This window comes from Homo sapiens, chromosome 21, assembly GCF_000001405.40.
Source record: "Homo sapiens chromosome 21, GRCh38.p14 Primary Assembly".
Taxonomy (NCBI): domain Eukaryota; kingdom Metazoa; phylum Chordata; class Mammalia; order Primates; family Hominidae; genus Homo; species Homo sapiens.
The window spans coordinates 33779426-33800703 of NC_000021.9; the positions used below are offsets into that span (position 1 = coordinate 33779426).

At 37.2% G+C, this 21278-nt stretch overlaps 1 protein-coding gene across 30 annotated transcripts in view; it reads left to right on the top strand.

The window, feature by feature from the left end:
• The window catches only part of ITSN1 (intersectin 1), a 257361-nt gene that overhangs the window by 136925 nt on the left and 99158 nt on the right, over nt 1-21278 (top strand). For all 30 annotated transcript variants that reach the window (XM_017028428.2, NM_003024.3, XM_017028431.3 and 27 more), the window contains 5 exons: nt 2036-2123; nt 2569-2708; nt 14916-15043; nt 17954-18183; nt 20383-20504. In XM_017028428.2, the coding sequence (XP_016883917.1) occupies nt 2036-2123; nt 2569-2708; nt 14916-15043; nt 17954-18183; nt 20383-20504 (708 nt within the window). The remainder of the gene's footprint in view (nt 1-2035; nt 2124-2568; nt 2709-14915; nt 15044-17953; nt 18184-20382; nt 20505-21278) is intronic.

Consider the following 21278-nt stretch of genomic DNA (forward strand, 5'->3'; position numbering starts at 1 on the left):
AATTCTTTCACCTTTATTGAGATTTATGGCTCAGCATATGCTCTGTCTTGGGGAATATTCTATGGGCGCTTGAAAAGAATGTGCATGCTGTTGTAATTAGGTAGAGTGTTCCCTAAATATCAGTTAGATCAAGTTGATTCATGGTGGTCTTCAAGTCTCCTGTGTCTTGACTGATTTTGTGACTACTTTTATTAGCTACTGAGAGTGGAACACTGAAATCCTGATCATTGTGGATTTGTATATCTTCCTTTCATTTCTGTTCAATTATTGTTTCATGTACTTTGAAGTCCTAAGAAACTCCTTATACATTTGAAATTTGAGATTTGTAAAGGAAAAAGTACCAGAAGTTGATTGCTGGAAATTATTTTAAAATATTACAAAATGCATGCACCTTTTTAAAGTATATTTTTCTTTTCTTTTTTTTTTGAGACAAAGTCTCACTGTTGCCCAGGCTAGAATGCAGTGGTGCGATCTCGGCTCACTGCAACCTCTGCTTCCCGAGTTCGAGTGATTCTCCTGCCTCAGCCTCCCCGGTAGCAGGGATTACAGGCAAGCGCCACCACGCCTGGCTAATTTTTATATTTTTTGCAGAGATGGGGTTTCACCATGTTGGCCAGCCTGGTCTCAAACTCCTGACCTCAGGTGATCTGCCCACCTTGGCCTAAGTGTATTTTTCTATGTGTTAACTCTCTTTATGTGTCTTTTGTTAACTCTTGAGGTAAAGTTTCATAAAATATTCTCCTGGAAAATTTAGGGATGAAGGCCATGTGTTTATTAAACTAAGTATTATCACCTAATACTATATGACCAAGTACAATTTTTATTAAAGATTGATGTTTAGACTGTTCACTTATTGATAATATGATAAAAATCAAGATTCCCAAAAATGTAATGAAGTGAAAAATAAAACATTCTTTGAAGAAAGAAAAGTATGTAGTAGGTAATCAGATATTGGTTCCCTTTCTGTACAGGGATTAGCAGATACTTGCTTTGGAGATAAGTCAGATCTGATTTGTGTATTCTGTTTTATCAAGATTTTTTTTTCTGGTATGGATTATTCATAGGAGAAGATGCTTCTAAATTCTAGCTATTGAGTTAACTCTTTCTACCATTTAGACATGCATTACACAGAGATTTATTCCACATAAGCCAGTCTGTATCTAAAGGTGGTTATTCCAAAATGGACTGGTTTTTAGCTTCTGATGAAAAATTTTAATTAAGGCATTTTTAGTTTTTCAAACAAAAAGTCAATACATAGAGCTCATTTTTTATCAAGGTAAAAATAAAAGTCAAATATTCTTTATTATAACCTAGGAAGGCTGCCATTTTACTGAAACATGCAGAAACTATACAGGATATTTTCGGCTAAATTTAAGCAGATACTGTTCTTGGCAAGTTAACCACAAAAATTCCAAACAGCCTGTGCAGTGTGGCTTAACTTTTTTCTTGTGTCAGTTAAAAAAATAGTTGCTTCAAAACTTTTGTGTACCTGTTTAAAATTCCATCCAGTGTGGTGGAAAAATATATACAGCAGCTAAGATTCTAGTTGTTAAAAATCTTTGATTTCTGTTTCTAACTTCAGGTATACGGTAAACCTAAGTTCAGCCTTAGTAAGTATCAAAGTTCAGGATAGAGTAATAGGGTAGCTCCTATTTAGACCACTGAGTTAGTTTACAAACAGTAGGATCACTGCATTTGCATTTGATCCCGGTGCCATTGGAAGATCATTGCTTCAATTTATCTCTGTGGAGTAGTACTTAATGTACATTTTTTGAAGCTTATAAATATCCGGTAAGTCAACAAAAATATAAGAAATATCAGGGAAGCTATAACTGTGTAGGGAAAAGCATTTGGCAAACAGAGTTAATTTCTTGGAAAGAAAGCAGGAGCCACACCTAATTAATAATTAAATGCAGCTTCACCATGCAGGATTTGGGAAGAGTCTGAGAAAACTGACTTAAGCTCTGCCTGGATCTTAATGTAGATGTGGTAGCCTTCCCTGTCATTCATTACTATTTTCCTCCTTCCTTCCCAGGAATCTCAGCAAATGCTTGGAAGACTTATTCCAGAAAAACAGATACTCAATGACCAATTAAAACAAGTTCAGCAGAACAGTTTGCACAGTAGGTGTTTTATTTTTAAAGTTGACCTTTTCTTTATTCTTTCTTTTTTTGACATGGAGTCTCACTCTGTCCCCCAGGCTGGAGTGCAGTGGCGCAATCTCGGCCAACTGTAACCTCCGCCTCCCGGGTTCAAGATTCTCTTGCCTCAGCCTCCCAAGTAGCTGGGACTACAGGTGCATGCCACCACAGCCAGCTAGTTTTTGTATTTTTAGTAGAGATGGGGTTTCACTATATTGGCCAGGCTGGTCTCGAACTCCTGACCCCAGGTGATCCATCCACTTTGGTTCCCCAAAGTGCTGGGATTACAGGTGTAGGCCACCGCACCCAGCCTTTTCTTATTTTTTAACCAGCAAGAATTTCCTTAAGTGAAATGAGAACATTAAAAAACATTTTCCTCACTGCAAATTAAAGTTTTTCTTATCTTTGCGACGTTTTTCTAAAATAGGAGATTCACTTGTTACACTTAAAAGAGCCTTAGAAGCAAAAGAACTAGCTCGGCAGCACCTACGAGACCAACTGGATGAAGTGGAGAAAGAAACTAGATCAAAACTACAGGAGATTGATATTTTCAATAATCAGCTGAAGGTAACTCTTCTATGTGTGCCTGCATGTGTGTCCTACCTTTAATTTTTTTAACTGTCCAAATGATTAGTTGCTATTTAATCACAGGCAGAAAAATTTATTATGCCATTGTGAGACAATCTAAATTGCACTTTTCTCCTTGAAAATATAAGAATGAATTTGGCATCTATAAATTAGGGCTGAATGAGTGGCCCCAGCATGACATCTATTTTTAACCTGAATCATATTTTGACACATCTCCATTCTTTTGTCTGTTTATAGTCACATCAAGTTGATTCCAAAAGCTTTATCTTTCTTATGTTCTTTGAATACTACTAAAAGGGATTGTTTTCTTTTTTAAAACTAAGAATTTTTCTGCCACTTCTTATCTTCATTGCGCTTAAATGTAGATCTTTATTTTGTTACCTCATTTTTAAATCTTACTGTTTTAGTGGAGTAATTGCTTTTGTCTCTTGTGGCAGAAGTGGTGTATGGTTTTGTCACATTTGCACAGTAAAATTGGGAAAATGCCAAAACTCTGAGGAAATGTAAAATGGTTAGATCACAGCCTTTTTCAGATTTGGTGTTTCTGATTTAACTTTACAACTGTATCATCTTAAGAATGTTAATTCTTGGCCGGGCGTGGTGGCTCATGCCTGTAATCCCAGCCCTTTGGGAGGCCGAGGCAGGCGGATCATGAGGTCAGGAGATCGAGACCATCCTGGCTAACACGGTGAAACCCCGTCTCTACTAAAAATACAAAAAATTAGCCGGGCATGGTGGTGGGCGCCTGTAGTCCCAGCTACTTGGGAGGCTGAGGCAGGAGAATGATGTGAACCCAGGAGGCGGAGCTTGCAGTAAGCCAAGATCACGCCACTGCACTCCAGCCTGGGTGACAGAGCAAGACTCTGTCTCAAAAAAAAAAGGAATGTTAATTCTTAAAATCAGAACACAAACAGTTTATTTCTTATAAACAATCATATACTACTTTAGATGTATGTAGATATTAGCATTTTTGTTATTCTTATAAGAAATTGGATGTTATACTTTTTTCCCCTCCAAATATTTGTTTTCCTTTTCTAACATAAAATTCTTTTTAAGCCAATTCAGCTTTTGACAGTGGGAAGAAGTAAAACTCCTATTCTATAATTCTAAAAACAAAATTAAAAATTAGCATATTTGAAACTTTTATAATAGTTGACCTTTGGATTGAGATTCTAGGCCAAATTGTCTAGACATCTGAGTTTGAGGTATGTGTGCTGTTCTTTCAGAGTATTAGGTAATGATCTTTTCTCAATTGTACGATTCCAGGAAAGTGCTCTTAGGGGAAATATTATTTGAGCCAACTTAGTGTTTTTCTTCACTTTGCTTTCATGCTTACATGGTGTGTGTTTGTGTGTACACTATATATGTTCTATATTCATGCATATATGATTATGTGTGGTATGTCAGTATTGGAAGTACAGCTGTAAATTAACCATCTCTAGAATAAGTGCAATTAGAAACAAAAAAACAAAAAAGAATAAGTTCAATTAAAGTATGCTCACATTAACTTTCATTGTCACTTGTCTCTTTTATAAGCAAAAAAAAAAAAAAAATAGCACTGTTGCAAAGCCTATGTTGCTTTTTAATAGTCTCTTGGGATATAAACTGTTAAATATTAAGCTCTCTTCTGAACCCAGGCAGTAGTCCAGATTTGTGCCTTCACATTGATTCTTTTTCTAGAAATTTGACTCCCCTAAAAAAGGTTCAGGTATTAGAAAATGATACTCTAGTGAGAGGCTTTTGATAAATGTCTAGAAGATTAAATAATTTTGGTGATTGAATTTCTGTTGCCATTACTAAAGAGAACACCCTTAATATGTGGCGAGTCACCCCTACTTTGTTTAATTGACTATGGCTGCTTTCAGTATCACAGAGTTTCTTACATAAAGGCCAATTTTAGCCCCCTTTTCCACTAGCCCTTTTTCCAAATATGCTTATTTTTAAATAAGAGTATTTCTTCTTGTTTTTTAATTTTAATTTTGGCTTTCTCTTATTAACTTTAATTAATATGATGAGTTTAAAAAAAATCACAGGTCAGGTCGGGTGTGGTGGCATGTGCCTGTAATCCCAGCACTTTGGGAGGCAGGTGGATCACTTGAGCAAGTGGATCATTCGAGACTAGCCTGGGCAAAAGGGTGAAGCCCTGTCTCTACAAAACACACACACACACACACACACACACACACACACACACACACACTAGTCAGGTATGGTGGCATGTGCCTGTAGTCCCAGCTACTTGGGAAGCTGAGGTCAGAGAATCACTTGAGTCTGGGAGGTTGGGGCTGCAGTGAGCCATGATTGTGTCACTGCACTCCTGCCTGGGCAACAGAGTGAGACCCTGTCTCAAAAAACAAACAAACAAAACAGTAAACAAATCACAGGTCAGTATAACTATATTGTTTTGTTATTTAACACGCATTTGGAGGACTTAGTGAATATGTTGTGTTATGGTTATTATCTCTAGTATTCCTCTCAAACCTGATAAAGCCAAAACAAACAATTAAATTGGAGAATCAAAAGATTTATAGAATTTGATTGAGACAACTCAGAGATGGATTTATCATTTAGTCTCTTAAGTGTCACTTGCCCACTTTTCTTTGTTGTAGCCACACTGGAAAATGAAATACTTTTTTTGTAACTTTAGAGCATGTGTCCATTAGCAACCATGTTTTCTTGGATGAAGAGATAGGCCAGGAGGAGCCAGTCTCCTGACTCTTGGGGTTTCTTCAGTGCCCCTCTTGATCGGCAGTGCCTTTAGAGCATCCACGCTGTTGATGCAAAAATTACTTCTGCCTTCCTGGGATGTGTCATTTCACACATCTAACCTGATAGTGTGAATTTGTTGTATCCTAAACCTTCCTTTCCCTAAAGGAAGCCAGCTGGAGAGTACAGAAAAGAAATTAGGGCTTCCTGTTCTTTTGTATTTCATGTTCACGTAGATTGTTCACCTGGAAGAAGGAAATGCAGTTCCCTCATTATAGGTTAGTACTGTAACACTGGAGGAATACCTTACAGAGTACAGAATTTTAAAATTAGTTGATCAGGATACTAAATCTATATTAAGTGGCTGGCTCCACAAATGAGGATAACATTTAACAAAAATTGATTCTCACTATTTTGGGTAAATTGCAATAAGTCATTCACCTACTTTGATGCATGCTCAGAGTTATGTCCAGTTTCTTAGGTATAAAGGTAATACAGGGAATAATCGTACCCTGGTTCAGCCCAGATTCTGAGTTATAAGACAGTGATTAGGAAGTATAGGAAGCGTATTTAGTCAAAAAACTAAATACACTTATACTTTCCTTTTCTTTTAACATACAATCTGATTTAGTTCTTTCTCTAGAATGTCTTGCTCAGATTAATTTGTCTTTTGTGGGTTTCTCCCATTTTCTTCAGTTCAGGAAGAATTCCTTCCTTCCCTACCCAAAATCTGATAAGCAAAGATAGAAATTCTCAAAGCATTAATTAAAGAGGAAAAAGTTACAGGTTAACAGGTATTTGTCTCGTATAGGAAGCAACCTGTTGAAAACATAAGGCATACTTATAATCGTGATCTTCTGTTAAATGGCTCCATATTCAAAGTCGTGGGCCTTTAAGTTTCTACCTAATCCATGGAAATTGAAGGCTCATTTTTTGTTTTCCAAAAAAGGCTGTTTTTCCATGCGTTTTAATAGATATTTACCTTTTAGGTGTCATATTTATATATTCAAAAAAAGATCCTAAGATGTAAATATCTTTCTATTTACCACCCAAACCAATAATTACTTGAGAAAGGAAACAGGAATCTTACTGTAGCAAATAAACTTTGCTTTTGGGTTTTAAATAAGTCTGTAAAAACAGGGAGGGTGGGAGAAGAGGAGAAACGATAGCACCCTGAAATATTGAAGCTCTTATCCTACAAATTCCCCAATTGGCAGCCTTTGTACTTATGCTGCCCTTGCTATGCATGATAAATTTTAGGTTTTTGATTATCAAATGAAATATTTGAACAGTGAATTAACCAGGAATAATTAATTTTGTTGTGATTATTGCTAGCATGAATTAGTACATCTTAAAATAGTTTTAATTCAGTGGGTAAAATTTATTTACCATTAATTTCTGCTTTTAAAATGTGTTCTGTATGTAACAAATACCTTATTAAGAAATCGGTAGTCTTCTCAGATCCACGTTCTAGAAACAACAATTTAAAATTATTATCTATGACTTCTACTTCAGTTTACATGAAAATTAAAACTCCCAACTTTTTTGGAGACTCTGTGTACCAAAAGGGTAGTTTTTCTTACACACAGTGCTTACCTATAGGCATAAAATTATGATTCAAACAAGTGTTAAATAACATTACTGCTAGGACTTTTTGGACAGTAGCACCTGACTTTACCTTGACCTTGGCGATGTCAGTAGTTACTGTAGCAGTTTTCCTTGGCACTGACAGCCTAATGTTCCATATTTTAATGTCTTAGCTCTAAGATGGAGCAGCAGCACAAAGTACAGCTTGTAGTTTTCCAGGCTCCTTTAAGAGGTCAAATAAGGAGAATCCAACACCCAACGGAGCTAGATTTTATGTTTCATGTTGAAAAGTTGAGTCCTTGTTGGTTCCTGTCTAGTCAGTGTGTACTGGACAAGTCCTAATGTGAATGGCCGTTTACATTTGAGCATTTCTTTCTTCCAGTCAGTGGCAATGGAGGAGGCAGTGTTGCAGTGCCTGGCAGTTCTCCTGGGCTGCGTCATCCACTTAGACTTCTTTCTAAAGGTCTCCATGCCCTACTCAGGCAATGCACATCTTTCTCAGACTAAGAATGATGAACCATCTCCAGCTCTGTGCTTCAGTTTCCCCTGCGCAGATGAGTGCTCAGTGTCTAAGATAGCATTTACCATGAAGTACTAAGCCTTCTTTATAAAAGTTAATTACTAGTTATTATTAATCGTGGAGTATGATTGATTCTTTCCTATTGACGAGTTGCGTGTGTGTATGGTGGTGTAAACTGAATTACAGGCTGGACAAGGTACTGTATACTGTAGTCTTGTCTTTTTAACAAGCATTTTAGATCATTGAATTTGAGCTTGTCTGCAAAAATGTGAAAGCGCTCAGTTGTTATTTGGGTCATGTGCATGTTTCCATCATGGGAGACATACTGTGATCAGTATACTATTCCAAATGTGTATAGCATTTTATTTTCTAGCAAAGTTTGAATATTTAAGACTAATTCACAATTATGATTTAATTCCTTAGTATACTTGGGAAATCCAGGCTTCTAAAATTAGACACAAGAGGCTGTTAGAAATATAAATTCTCCCCATAATGCTACCTGTTCTAAAAATTGCTCTTAGAACCGAATCGATGTTGAAATGAGAAGGCCAGTTGTAGTAAATGAGGTTGTTTGCTTAACTAAAGCCTTTATACTCTTGGTTTCAGACACTAGCTTTCATGGGAGGCTCATTCATTATGAAGGCAGTGAAAGGCAAAATGTTTAGCAACCAGAGGAAAAAAGAAAAGAGCTGGAGAAAGAACTGCAGAACAGAGTAAGAAGTCAGGGAAAAAAATGCTTGTGAAGGGAAACAATGAAGGAAGGAGAAAGACTCAGAAAGAGGAGGCACAGAGACAGTGAGAGAAATCAGTATGAATTCAAATAGCCATGTTGCTTTGTCATAATTAGTAGAATAATGTTTGGTTCTTTCATTCTGTTCAAGCTAAAATTTTATTTTTACCTATATGATCCTTTGGAAAAGACCTCTTATGCACAGAAGTAATAAAGTGCTCTAACTCTCATTCTGTCAGATTCTGTGCCATACCAGTAGGCTGCTTGGTTGAGTTTTTTAGTTACAGCATGGGTTTTTTTTCTTTTTAAGGTTGTAAAAATTTAATAAAAGATAATTTGGGAAAGGGTTAAGAAGAACTCAGTCTTTTGAAAAAATACTTTCTTCTCTTAATGGAATATTGCTTTGTGACTGAAGCAGACACTTTGAGGGAAATTCAGATTTTCAGGACAAAATGGAATCAGTTTTCTCTTTCTGGTAATGCTTCCCAAGGGTACTTCCCAAAGCCTCATGGCAGAGGGTGTCTGATTACCTATTACTATTGCAGAGAGGACAAGAGCTTCTAGCTCTTCTGCCCACCTCCTTCCACACACACACCTTGCTCCAATCTCCCTTAGCACTTGTGACACATTGACTACCATTTTGTGCCATGGGAAATAGTCTTATTATTTTGTTAAATACTGACTTCAAATTTAAATTTTTGAACATGTTTTCAAACAGTATATCCCATTTCAGAATTTAAATAACCAGTCAGGCCAGGTGCAGTGGCTCATGCCTATAATCCTAACACTTTGGGAGTTCGAGGCGAGTGGATCACTTGAGGTCAGGAGTTTGAGACCAGCCTGGCCAACATGGCAAAATCCTGTCTCTACTAAAAATACAAAAATTGGCTGGGTGTGGTGGCATGCACCTGTAATCCCAGCTGCTCGGGAGGCTGAGGCAGGAGAATCACTTGAACTTCATCACGGCAGAGGATGCAGAGAGCCAAGATCATGCCACTGCATCCCAGCCTGGGCAACAGAGCAAGACTCCATCTCAAATAAATAAATAAATGAATAACCAATCAGTATATATTTTTCTGTATAGTCCTCTCAGTTTTAATGCATCGAGAATGAATAAATGTAGCCTGGTACAGTGACATATATCTCAGGAGGCTGAGGTGGGAGGATCACATGAAGCCAGACGTTCAAGGCTATGATCGTGCCTGTGAGTAGCCGCTGTACTCCAGCCTGGACAACACATGTCTCTAAATAAATAAATTTTTTAAATGAATGAATAAATTTATAATTTTATGATAAATGGGCTATCAGTTTACCTTGATTTGGGTATAGTTTCTGTGTTCTGAAATCGTTATTTTTCAAAATTTTCCATACAGGCACAAGTTCTCACCTCATGGGGTTTGTTAACTGGCCTTCTTTAATAGCTCTTCATTTGTTTCACAACCACTTAATTTGAAAAAGTTAATGTATTTTAAAACTCCAAAGGCCTTCTATAAATTTTGATACCGTATACTACATATTATCCCTAGGTGAGAAATAATGTTTATTTACAGAAAAGCACTTCTACTTTGGACTTTTTATGGATGTGATATTATAGATAAACACCTGAAATTTCTGATGCTGGTAGCTACATCATTTTTTAATGAGGTCAATTTAATATTAACAGTATGAAGATTATTATAAATGTTATATGTGAGCTAAATAATTTTATCTTGATTTATGGTTTTGAGTTCATGAAATTTAAGTAATTAAGTTATGTTTGTTTTTGTCTCTCATTTCCAAGAGACATCCTGAGGCGAACCAAAAGCAAAATCCTTCAAAAAAGTTAAATATCTAAATCAGTAAATACATTTCCATTAACTGCTGGTCTCCTTTCATAGACCCCTGTTGCTATTTTTTTCTCTTCATATACATTATGCAAAGTAATGTTTGTGAAAAGGAATCCTATATATTGTTCAGGCGCATGCTACTTTATATTTCAAGTAATATTGTTTCACATAATACATGTATTTTTGAGTGTCTCTAAGACCAGATGAAGGAGAAACAGTCACAGTTATTAAATCAAGTGATTCTGTGCCTTTTAGCTTAGCAATAGAACAAACTTCTTCAGTAAACCTGAGCCACATTTCTCAGGGGAAAAATAGTTGGATTTTCTTGGGTATTCAATTTGTCAAACAGATTGCTTTTGAAATACTTTGGCTCTGTGCCATAGGATGTCCAAAGATGTTTTATGGTTCAAATATCTTAGTTCTTTAGGGGAAATAAGTGACTTTTCCCTCTTTGGTCTAGGGAAGAAAATTAAAAGCAAGTTGATTTTCGTTTATCTTAACTAATACAAAACAGAATCTTGATATGCCAGTAATTTGTTATTGTGGTTCATGAGCTGTGCTTGATCAAAGACCCCTTGAGACTAATAAAAGCTGTGAGCTTTCTCCACCAGAAAAATGCCCATATACCCCAAGTCTGCATGCAACATAGTATCCACAGGGCTGAAGCTTATTCATGGAACCTGGTTAAGAAACTCTGTATTTTCATGATTCTGCATAAATTGTGATTTTTTAAAAAAAACTTATTTTAATATTTAATATTAATATTTAATATATGTGTGTAGTATATATACTACACATTTTATAGTTTTATTTTTTCTGCATAAGTATTTGTTACATGCAGCTACAATTTCTTGACTACTTAATAATTTCTTATTTAAGAAAGTACTGTAATTATGTTTTATTGGAAGATAATATCAAATTATTACATACTCTACCTAGTGTAAAACATGTCATACACTTGAATAGAATTCATAAAAGAAAAATCAACAAAGTTGTACACTCCGTACTATATTGCTAGATTAATATCCATCCAAGAAACAAGTTTTTGTAGAATTACTGGTTTTAGAAAAAAAAATCACTTAACTTTAGGAAGAACCGAGTGAGATACTGACTTTTGATTCGTGGTAATTTGTTTGTTTTCTTTCTGTTATAATAGCAAAATAACTGTGACAAATTCCATGTGGATTTAATAGAATTTGCAGGGTCATTTAAATCAAGTTGCCTACCAGGAAATGTTGATACTTTCAGTGTGGTGAAATTTTCCTTAGCCATTTCCCCCAATAATTTGCTCATTTCCTAGATATGTAATTTAATGGCACTAGATTTGTTTGTCACTTTGAATTTTTTTCTTTCTGAAGGAGTTAAAAGGATACTTCTTAATAACTGTAACTGTACTTGAGTCTCTTTAATAGTATGGAGAAGAATGAGAGAATAGTGTAGCCATCTGCTCCCCTATGTGAAAGGACTGGGTATTCTACAAGGACTTTGTTCTGGCAAAGGAAGGAGAGTCATTCACTCATTTTTTTAAGAGTATATATTTCTTCATTCTATAGATTGCCTTCTCGGAAGTTCAACTTTTTAAAAAGCTTATCAACTTAGAAATCATCCATGTTCTGCTTATGTTGATTCATGCCATAGTAAACTCTTTAAGTCCAAGAAAAGAGAAGACCCAGAATGCCTGCCTCTGGGCAGCATGTTGATTTCCTTACAACTGTGTATCTCAGCAGTGTTTGACTTGGATGAAGGAAATGATAGAAAAACTTTGCCATCTTGAAATCTGGATCATAAGGTGCCAGAGCCTTCTGTTAGCTTATTTGTCGTCTGTTATTTTATGGTTCCTGCAAGCTCCATTCCTTGGAGGTGCTTGAAACTGCAACTTACATAATCAGTTCCTAAGATCGGTTCAAATACTGCTATACTCAAAAACAAGTGTGTTTAAAAAATTTAAGTATCTTTTTTCATGTATTTGATACATTTAAAAATTATTTTTGAAACTGTGTCATAGGTAGGTTTTTTTTCTGTAGATTCTTCAAAATCACTTTTTCTTACAAGCTTTTCAATTTTATAGTCTCTCCTAATGTATTACTAGCTTTACTTAAATCCGGTAATCAATGATCTATAAATCCATATCCAGTTACAAGAGCCTAGTATAGAAAGGAAATGTGCGGTATAATTCTTGGGGAAAAATGAAAAATCTTCATTTGTGCCTATGGGCTATCTATTATAGTATGTTGATACATCATGGCCAGTGTCCATTCTGGTTGTGCAGTACCTGTTGTTGAATATTTTGAATATCACTCATGAATACATTTTTTCCTGGATGAAATAAGGACTTTTCTTTATTTAATATATAATCAGATTCCTGAACATCAAGCTGAAATGTTATTTCTCTTCCGGCATTTCTTACTCCTTTGTAGGGTTTAATTTCAGCTCAGGGTTATTTTGCTTATGCTTTTTTCACTTATTCTTGCAGTTAAGAATAAAATTCTAAATAAAACAGATACTGAAATAAATAAATACTTTATTTGTTTGTTAGACATTGTGATGAACAATGTCTAAGATTTATCAGATCCCAAAACTAGAAGAACACCTAAAGATCATCCATTCTGATTCATCTGCCAGCTCATATCAGGGACCTGAGATTAGAATCCTGGTTTCTTGATTCCCAGTTCTGTACCTTTTTTATTTTTTATTTTTTTGAGACCGATTCTTGCCTTGTCACCCAGGCTAGAGTGCAGTGGCGCGATCTTGGCTCACTGCAAGCTCCGCCTCCTGGGTTCTCGCCATTCTCCTGCCTCAGCCTCCCGAGTAGCTGGGACTGCAGGCGCCTGCCACCATGCCCGGCTAATTTTTTGTATTTTTAGTAGAGACGGGGTTTCTCCGTGTTAGCCATGGTGGCGTAACTTTTAAGTATAGTCTTTTGCTGTAAATTATTTTTTCTGAACCTATTTAAGAATTTGATGGTCTTGAAAATGAAATTTTCATTCATATTATTACTGATTATTTATTCTTGATTCCAGGTTACTATGAAAACCAGTACTACTGATTTTTTAACACATTAAAATTAAGTTTTACATCCCTTGGTATGGCAGTGAGAAAGATGATGAAAAATGGACTTCTTTCTCCCTAGGGTTGATTTTCTGATCTCAGCACTTTAAACAGTCAGTGTGAGGCTGCATCATTGCTTTCCAGTCTTAGCCTTCTTTTCCCCTTCCCTCTGTTCCACATGTCAGGTCTGCTGCCATAGGGAACAGTCCAATTTGTGCCTTACAAAGGTACCTTTTCCTGCTGTGTCCTGCCTGGATGTTCCCAGTGTCATCTGCTAGGTTCCCTACTGAAGCCCCTTCTTCCTTTCTTTTTCCTCCTTCCCCCTTCCTTCCTTTCCTTTTTTCCTTCTTCCCTTCTTCTCCATTTTCCCCTTCCCCTTTTCCTCCAGTACCTTCCTCTTCCTAAGTACCTCCCCCCAGACCCCTATCTCCAGTTAAACTTTTTCTTTTATCTCATTGTTCTTTTAAAGCCTCTCAGCGTCACTTACAGTTTATAAAACATTTGTGTATGGATTTTAACTTTAACCTTAGCAAAATTAGTAGGAAAAGGTTAGCCTAACCCTTAGGATTTTTTTCCAATAACAAGTGCATTTTAATACTGACTTTCTACAGACAAACCGTCTACCTTTGTTGTTCAATCTCTGAATGAATCTAAAGGTAGGAATTTTAGGGCCTGGAAGAAACCTACCTGCCCATCTAGTCTTGCCAGTGAGAAAGGTGATAGAAGACGACAGGGCAAATCTTAGTCCTTAACTCTCCCCATAGAGATCCCTGGGCCATGTACTGGGAGGACCAGCCCTGGTTAGATCAAGAAATCAGCTGGAAAGATACCTTGGCTCTACTGGGCACTTTGACTCATCTGATTTATCGCTGGCCCACATAAGACGAGTTTCAGTGACTCAATCTATTGGTGACCATTTGATTTCTATGGAATCAGGGAGTTTCTTCCTCAGCAGACGTTTCCTTATTCTTCCTATTTTCAGGTGTCTAAACTTGTGACTTGAGTACTTTAAATATCATAGAATGCATTTTATTTTCAGTAGCCTGCTAAGGAAATTACTGCTATTCCTGCAGCTAGTAGTATCAAGTGAGGAAATTGGATCCAAGGTATTCATCATCAAATTATAGCTTTTTACTTTTAACCTGATTGCTGGTTTAGTTTGGGGCAGTTAGCGACTTGAAGGATAGATTTAGTAAGAAAAGATGCTCTGGAAGAGGAGCAACTTGAAGAAAAATAGACCCTGGGGGGAAGAATTGAGGTCAAAGAATTGAGGAGCAAAGAGATGTCCATTTGTTCTAAGGCAGCTTAGTGAAAGGTGGAGGTGAGGTTTGAATGGAGGTAGTCAGTGAAGAAGAGGCATCTGTATTTTCAAAGCCAGTAAAGGTTGGTGTTGATTGATAATCAAAAGAAGCTTAAGTTTTATTCATGATCATCGTCATATCTTGGAACTGGTTACGTTCCATTATGATTGCTGAGCCTTTAGCAGCAGAGCTCACCTCCTGCCCTTCGCTAGCAGGTTTCTTCTAGAGCAGATCATGGAAAATGGTATAATGTGTATGGCTCATTAGAATGTAATCTTAAGTGGCCTTTGGAAATCAGTCATGTCAAAATGTGGTGTGATTCTAGCTTTCCAAGTTGACTTTTTCCAACTCTGAAACGTTATCTCCTAAGTGTCCTAGGCTTCCCACTATGAAATGTTGCATGCTGATAAATAGTTGATGTACCTGTCACTCATGTCGCTACATGAACTGTTTCTCGGTTAATTATAGGAACTAAGAGAAATACACAATAAGCAACAACTCCAGAAGCAAAAGTCCATGGAGGCTGAACGACTGAAACAGAAAGAACAAGAACGAAAGATCATAGAATTAGAAAAACAAAAAGAAGAAGCCCAAAGGTGAGTCTTCTTTGGATTGTGGACTCATCTGGAAGGAACTTTGAGGATTTACTATTCTTTGCTTGGCTTCTCCAAGTAGTTACTGCACCAGAAAGAGCCTTCAGTCTTTAGTGTGCATGTGAAGTGTGAGTGCAAACACAAACACGTGTATATATGAATCTTTGCATGTATCAGTACCCTCTGAAGTTTTTGGTTGGTTCCCAGAGCTCTCTCAAGCTACTACTATGTAGATAAATGGAATTATACAAGGAAATTGGGACACTTGGTGTGCTCATTTGCATGCTAATGGCCAGTTCACAGCCTTTTACTAACAGCTAACAGGGGTTGGAGTGCCTGGTTTAAAATCCAAGCCACTGAGCTAGTGCCCCACACAGGGCTTCTCCAGCAGGGTCAGGGTGGGCCTCTTCTGTTTTTCAACTGCAAATTAAACTTTAGTACAAAAGGGGGAAATTTGCCACCGCTGCTTAGTGTGTAGGATACAGACATGTTTTTATCTGTTTTTGTTTGAAGATTTATTTGTGATATTTTTATTTTTACTTGTAACTTACTGTAGTAAATTGTAGAAATTTGTGTCTGATTTTGTTACTGGGTATTTGCCTTTTAAATGTCAGTTAATTTTAGACTCCACGAAACAAAAATGACCAAATGTCCCAATGACAGCCCCGTAAATTATAAAAGTTGGTAATTGAAATTAGATTAAGGCCAGGCATGGTGGCTCACACCTGTAATCCCAGCACTTTGGGAGGCCGAGGTGGGCGGATCACGAGGTCAAGATATTAGGACCATCCTGGCCAACATGGTGAAACCCTGTTCTATTAAAAATGCAAAAAATTAGCTGGGCACGGTGGCACGCGCCTGTAGTCCCAGCTACTTGGGAGGCTGAGGCAGGAGGATCACTTGAACCCGGGAGGCGGAGGTTGCAGTGAGCTGAGATCATGCCACTGCACTCCAGCCTGGCAACAGAGCAAGACTCTGTCTCAAGAAATTAGATTAAAAAGGCGAAGAAACGGATACTTGAGGCAAGTCATTGACTTTAGTGGGCTGAGTTCAGTTAACCTGCCAAGAGCTGTGCATACTTTCTTATGGGTATATAGAGTCTTCTGTTTGTTTTTCAGTGCCAGTGGGGAGGTATCTGGGGTCCCAGACCAATTTACAGGATTGTTTTATGGTTTTCTTGGGGGTCAGACTAAGGATCTCCTCCTTGGATGTTGATTAACTCCATCCTTTTCTTACCCCCAGAGTTTATAAAATGCTTTTATTATTCACACTATACCACACTGAACTGTTAAATTCCTACAGTGTAGAAATAAACATAAAATACAGAAAAATACATAAAATAGCATAATACAGAAAATAGCATAAAAATATAATATGGAATATGTATTCCAATTATATAGATAAAAACTGCAAATTAACGTCAGAAATTAGATGGTTATACAGTATATATGGTGACCTTCATTGGTAGAAAATATAAAGTAATTCTTTTTTTTTTTTTTTTAATTTTTTATTTTTTGAGACGGAGTCTCGCTCTGTCACCCAGGCTGGAGTGCAGTGGCACGATCTCGGCTCACTGCAACCTCCGCCTCCCAGGTTCAACCGACTCTCCTGCCTCAGCTTCCCAAGTAGCTGGGACTACAGGTGTGTGCTACCACGCCCAGCTAATTTTTATATTATTAGTAGAGATGGGGTTTCACCATGTTGGTCTAGAACTCCTGGCTGGTCTAGAACTCCTGACCTCGTGATCTGCCCTCCTCAGCCTCCCAAAGTGCTGGGATTACAGGCATGAGCCACCGCGCCTGGCCACTGTTTTTATTATGGTTTTTTTGTTGTCATGAATAACCATATCCTTACCCCTCCAAAAAATGTTTTTATACTTTCTTAAAAGACATTTTAAAAATTGTAAATAAAATGTTTAAGATTTAAGTTTAAAGACTTCTGCATTAAAATATCACATTCATACAGAGTAGAAATAAATGTAATTTTTTGACAATGGAGAATAAAAGTATAATTTGTTTCAATTATGTTCCCGTGGCAGATTCCTAATTCTAGCCGATGACCTGTGTGCGTTAGCCATGTCACAGGATGGCAGTTCAGGGTGGAGACTCTGGGACCAGGCTGCCTGGGATTGAAGCCCATGCATGTATGGCTGTGTGACGTGGACAAGTCATTTAATATCTCTGCCCCAGCTTCCTCATTTGTAAAATAGGAGTAATACTAGGACTACCAACCTGATTCGCAGTTTAAAGGAGTTAATATATGGGGAGCTAGTTATTATTATGTCATTTGTTATTACATATTAGTTTCATTTAAAGTATTTTCTGACTTTATAAAGTATTATGGAATGAGAAAAATCATTCTCAGTCTTTTACTGTGGGTTTCAGGTTGAGGCCATCAAAAATTTCAAGGCCTAGATTTAATTACAATTATCTATTTGTGGTAGCTACTTTGAAAAACAAAATCAAAGTAGTTGAAGTCAATAAAACAATCCCTTGCTTTCAACTTCAGGTTTGGGGAGCAATGTGTGTGCATGTAAATGTGTTGTTCCCTTTGCTGGGGGGAAATTTTTACAGTGTTGGGTGTATTTTATTTTTATAGAAGTTATGTTCTCTGTGTTTTATGGCTTTGTTTGTTTGTTTTGTCAGTTTAATACCAGCTTTATTATTAAGAAGTATTTTTCTTATTCTTGTAACCACTTTGTAAAATACATCAGAAATTTTCTGTGTTTTCCTAAATCATGTGATTTCTTCTCATTCAGAACTGGAGCCCTGATTCAGTTGCCCCATCTGAACAACAATGTTCCCTTGATGTTCCCATCCCATTTACTGGATGGAGCTTTTTTTGTGAAAAGAGGCAACAGTAGTGTTAACTTAGAGTTGCTTTCTTGCTGTAATCAAGCGTGTTTGTTGGCAGACGAGCTCAGGAAAGGGACAAGCAGTGGCTGGAGCATGTGCAGCAGGAGGACGAGCATCAGAGACCAAGAAAACTCCACGAAGAGGAAAAACTGAAAAGGGAGGAGAGTGTCAAAAAGAAGGATGGCGAGGAAAAAGGCAAACAGGAAGCACAAGACAAGCTGGGTCGGCTTTTCCATCAACACCAAGAACCAGCTAAGCCAGCTGTCCAGGCACCCTGGTCCACTGCAGGTATTAGAAGCCAAAAATAATTATAGAAAATAAGTCATCTTCTCTCCCAGAGCCTCCTGAAAAATGCCCCTATCTCATCAGTACCTGTCTTGGCTACATTAACAGATGAGAACGTCAGTCTCTTATTTTGAGCATGGCCAGCTCTTCTTTCCCCAGGGTCATTTGAGATCTGTGTAATTCTCCCACCACCATGCCAGCCTCTGGCCCACGTTACACTGGCATCCACGAGTCCTCTACGGAGCTAACAAGTGGCGTGAAGTTCCAGTGGTCTTATATGCTGCAAAAGAACCTGCTGTTTCTCTGGTTTGTTATTTCCCTCCCTGGAATTTCTGAGCTGTTTCTGCAACAGAAAGTGGCACCTTTCACCCTTGCCTCCACTGATGGGGCATTCGCTGTCTTCGGTCTGCATTGCATAAAACTGCTTTTACTTTTTGAAAAATGTAAAAGCATAATTTGCCTTTTCTTTACTTCTCTTTTCTTTCTTCTCTTTCCTTTTCTTTTTTCTTTGAGACAGTGTCTCACTCTGTCGCCTAGGCTAGAGTGCAGTGGCACACTCATAGTTAAATGCAGCTTCAAACTCTTGGGTTCAAGCAATCCTCCTGTCTTAGCCTCTCAAGGAGCTGAGACTATAGGCATGCACCACCATGCCCAGCTAATTTTTTTTTTTTTTGTAGAGATGGGGGGTCTCACTTTGTTGTCCAGGTTGGTCTTGAACTCCTGGCCTCAGGCGATCCTCCCACCTTGGCCTTTCAGAGTACTGAAATTACAAGCATGAGCCACCATGCCTAGCCTAATTTGCCTTTTTTTTTTAAAAAAGGGATAAATGAAAGACTGAACAAAAAGATAAATGAAAGACCAATCTAATCGGAATAGCTAGAAAAAGCTATCCTTTATAATATCTGATGTGAGCTAGAATGTATTTAAGATTCTTGTGTGGTTGTGTGATTGTACAGTTTTGCAAATAATGTTCAGTGGAAGCAAGTCATTGCTTTTTCTTTGTGTGGTAAATTATACCAGTTTTGCTTGGTCATCCATGTGCTTCTTTAGTGCTTCAGTATACAGAAAGAAAAGAAAGAAAAAACACTTTCAAGCTATTCTGTAAAGGTTTACTGGTCCCCAGCTACATAGTGGGCAGAGATGGGCGTGAGGTATGGAGTTGCATTAGGCACCTACCTGCCTTCAGATGCATGCAGTCCAGGGGAAAGACTGGCAGGTCATCAGACCTACAGAGTAGCAACCATGTCATAGGAGGGGCAAATTAATTTTTTGATAGTTTTTTTTTTAATCTGAAAATAATTTCACCATTGATCTTAGGAAGTTAGTTTAAGTTCTTCATGCGTCCTCCTAGTATAAGATGAGGATTTATTTTTCCCCTTCAGTCAGTAGGAAATCTTGCATGTCATACAGTTCAAAATCATGTGGAGATAATACTTCCCCCTCGTTGCTTTTCAGATAAGATAGGTATATGTCAAAATACTTGTAGCTCTTGAGTAAAAATGCCCAAAGGTCTGTTACTAGTTTTTGCTAACCAGAATCCAAAATATCCTCCGCTCATGTGCATTTTTAAACATTTTATTTCATGTAAAATCTAAATTATTTTCATCTAGGTTTCATCCTTAGGCTAATTATTTCCCAAAGAAATGTAGAGGAAGAGTGTCTTCATCGGGGATTATCAGTATAACCAAAATCAGCACTTAGTTTTTATATGACCAGGTTAAAGAGCCTAAAACATCTGCATTTTCATGTTTCAGTATGGAAACTGGTGCCTCTGTTCCCTCCCAAACAAGTTGACTCCTTGGCTGATTCAGACTTTGGGTCATATCCTAACTGCTACATTGTACTCAACACACTGGGTAGGGAGGAGGGCGGGTATTGATGCTTTACAGATCTGCACTGCTGGAGCCCAAGGAAAGAGGCAGAGACAAGGGACCTTTAGGCAGCCTCGCCGCACCCAGGCTTGGAGTGACCTTTGTTTAGAGAGAGTCACTAATGAACTCTCTCATGGGTTTTTGTTGCTGACGTCAGATTTGGCTGTGCTTTGGCATTCAGTATGTGTTTCAGAAATTCCTTGAATGGAGGGAAATAGTTCAGAGGTTAAGATAGGCAATAGAGGAGAGGTTAGTTGTTTGGCTTGTTGTCATACATTTGTGTTCTCTGTAATTATTTATTTTTGTCCCCCCCACCTTTTTTTGTAAACAGAAAAAGGTCCACTTACCATTTCTGCACAGGAAAATGTAAAAGTGGTGTATTACCGGGCACTGTACCCCTTTGAATCCAGAAGCCATGATGAAATCACTATCCAGCCAGGAGACATAGTCATGGTAAGAAAGACTCCAGTGAGAGGGTCATTTCTGTTGAAGATTAGCCTCTGTCCTCTTTTTTTCACTTTATTCAACAATTGTGAGATTGTCAGTGAGTATGAAACCCAATAATCCAGCATCTAGATTTTTAAAGTATAAGCTCAATCTTCTTTCTTTTCTATTAAAATGAAAGATGGCATTTAAAAAAATGTATCCTAACATCATTTTAAAATTGAGTTGATAAAGACAGTGTGTTCTTATTTTTAAATCTATAAATGTCTGATAATTTCAGAGTTTAGATTACTACTTATATACTATGAGTATACATATATATGTAATACATATATTTTATATATGATGTATAGACAATATATATACTAGTGTGCGTGTGTATATATATGTGTATGTATAATATATACTAGTGTGCGTGTGTGTATATATGTACACATATATATACACACACAAAAGGATCCTCCAAGGTGGAAGGAGGCCAGGAGTCTTTAAGAAATAGTTATAAGTGCAAAACACTCTATCAAATCATTCTCATAATTGCAATAACTTTTGTATCTTTGCATCAAAGCATCTTTTTTCCCTTTAATTATGTGAACTTTTAATTATGTAAAAAGAGTAATGAATTATACAGTTAATCTGCTTTCCTACTTTGTAACAGAAAATAGTTTAGAATTTTGCTTTGTTATTGTTTCTTTCCTTGAACTAATAATCATTTTATGATGTGACTAAAACTATAGGAACCAGTTTAAGAAAGAAAATCAGACATGGTTGATCTAAATCATT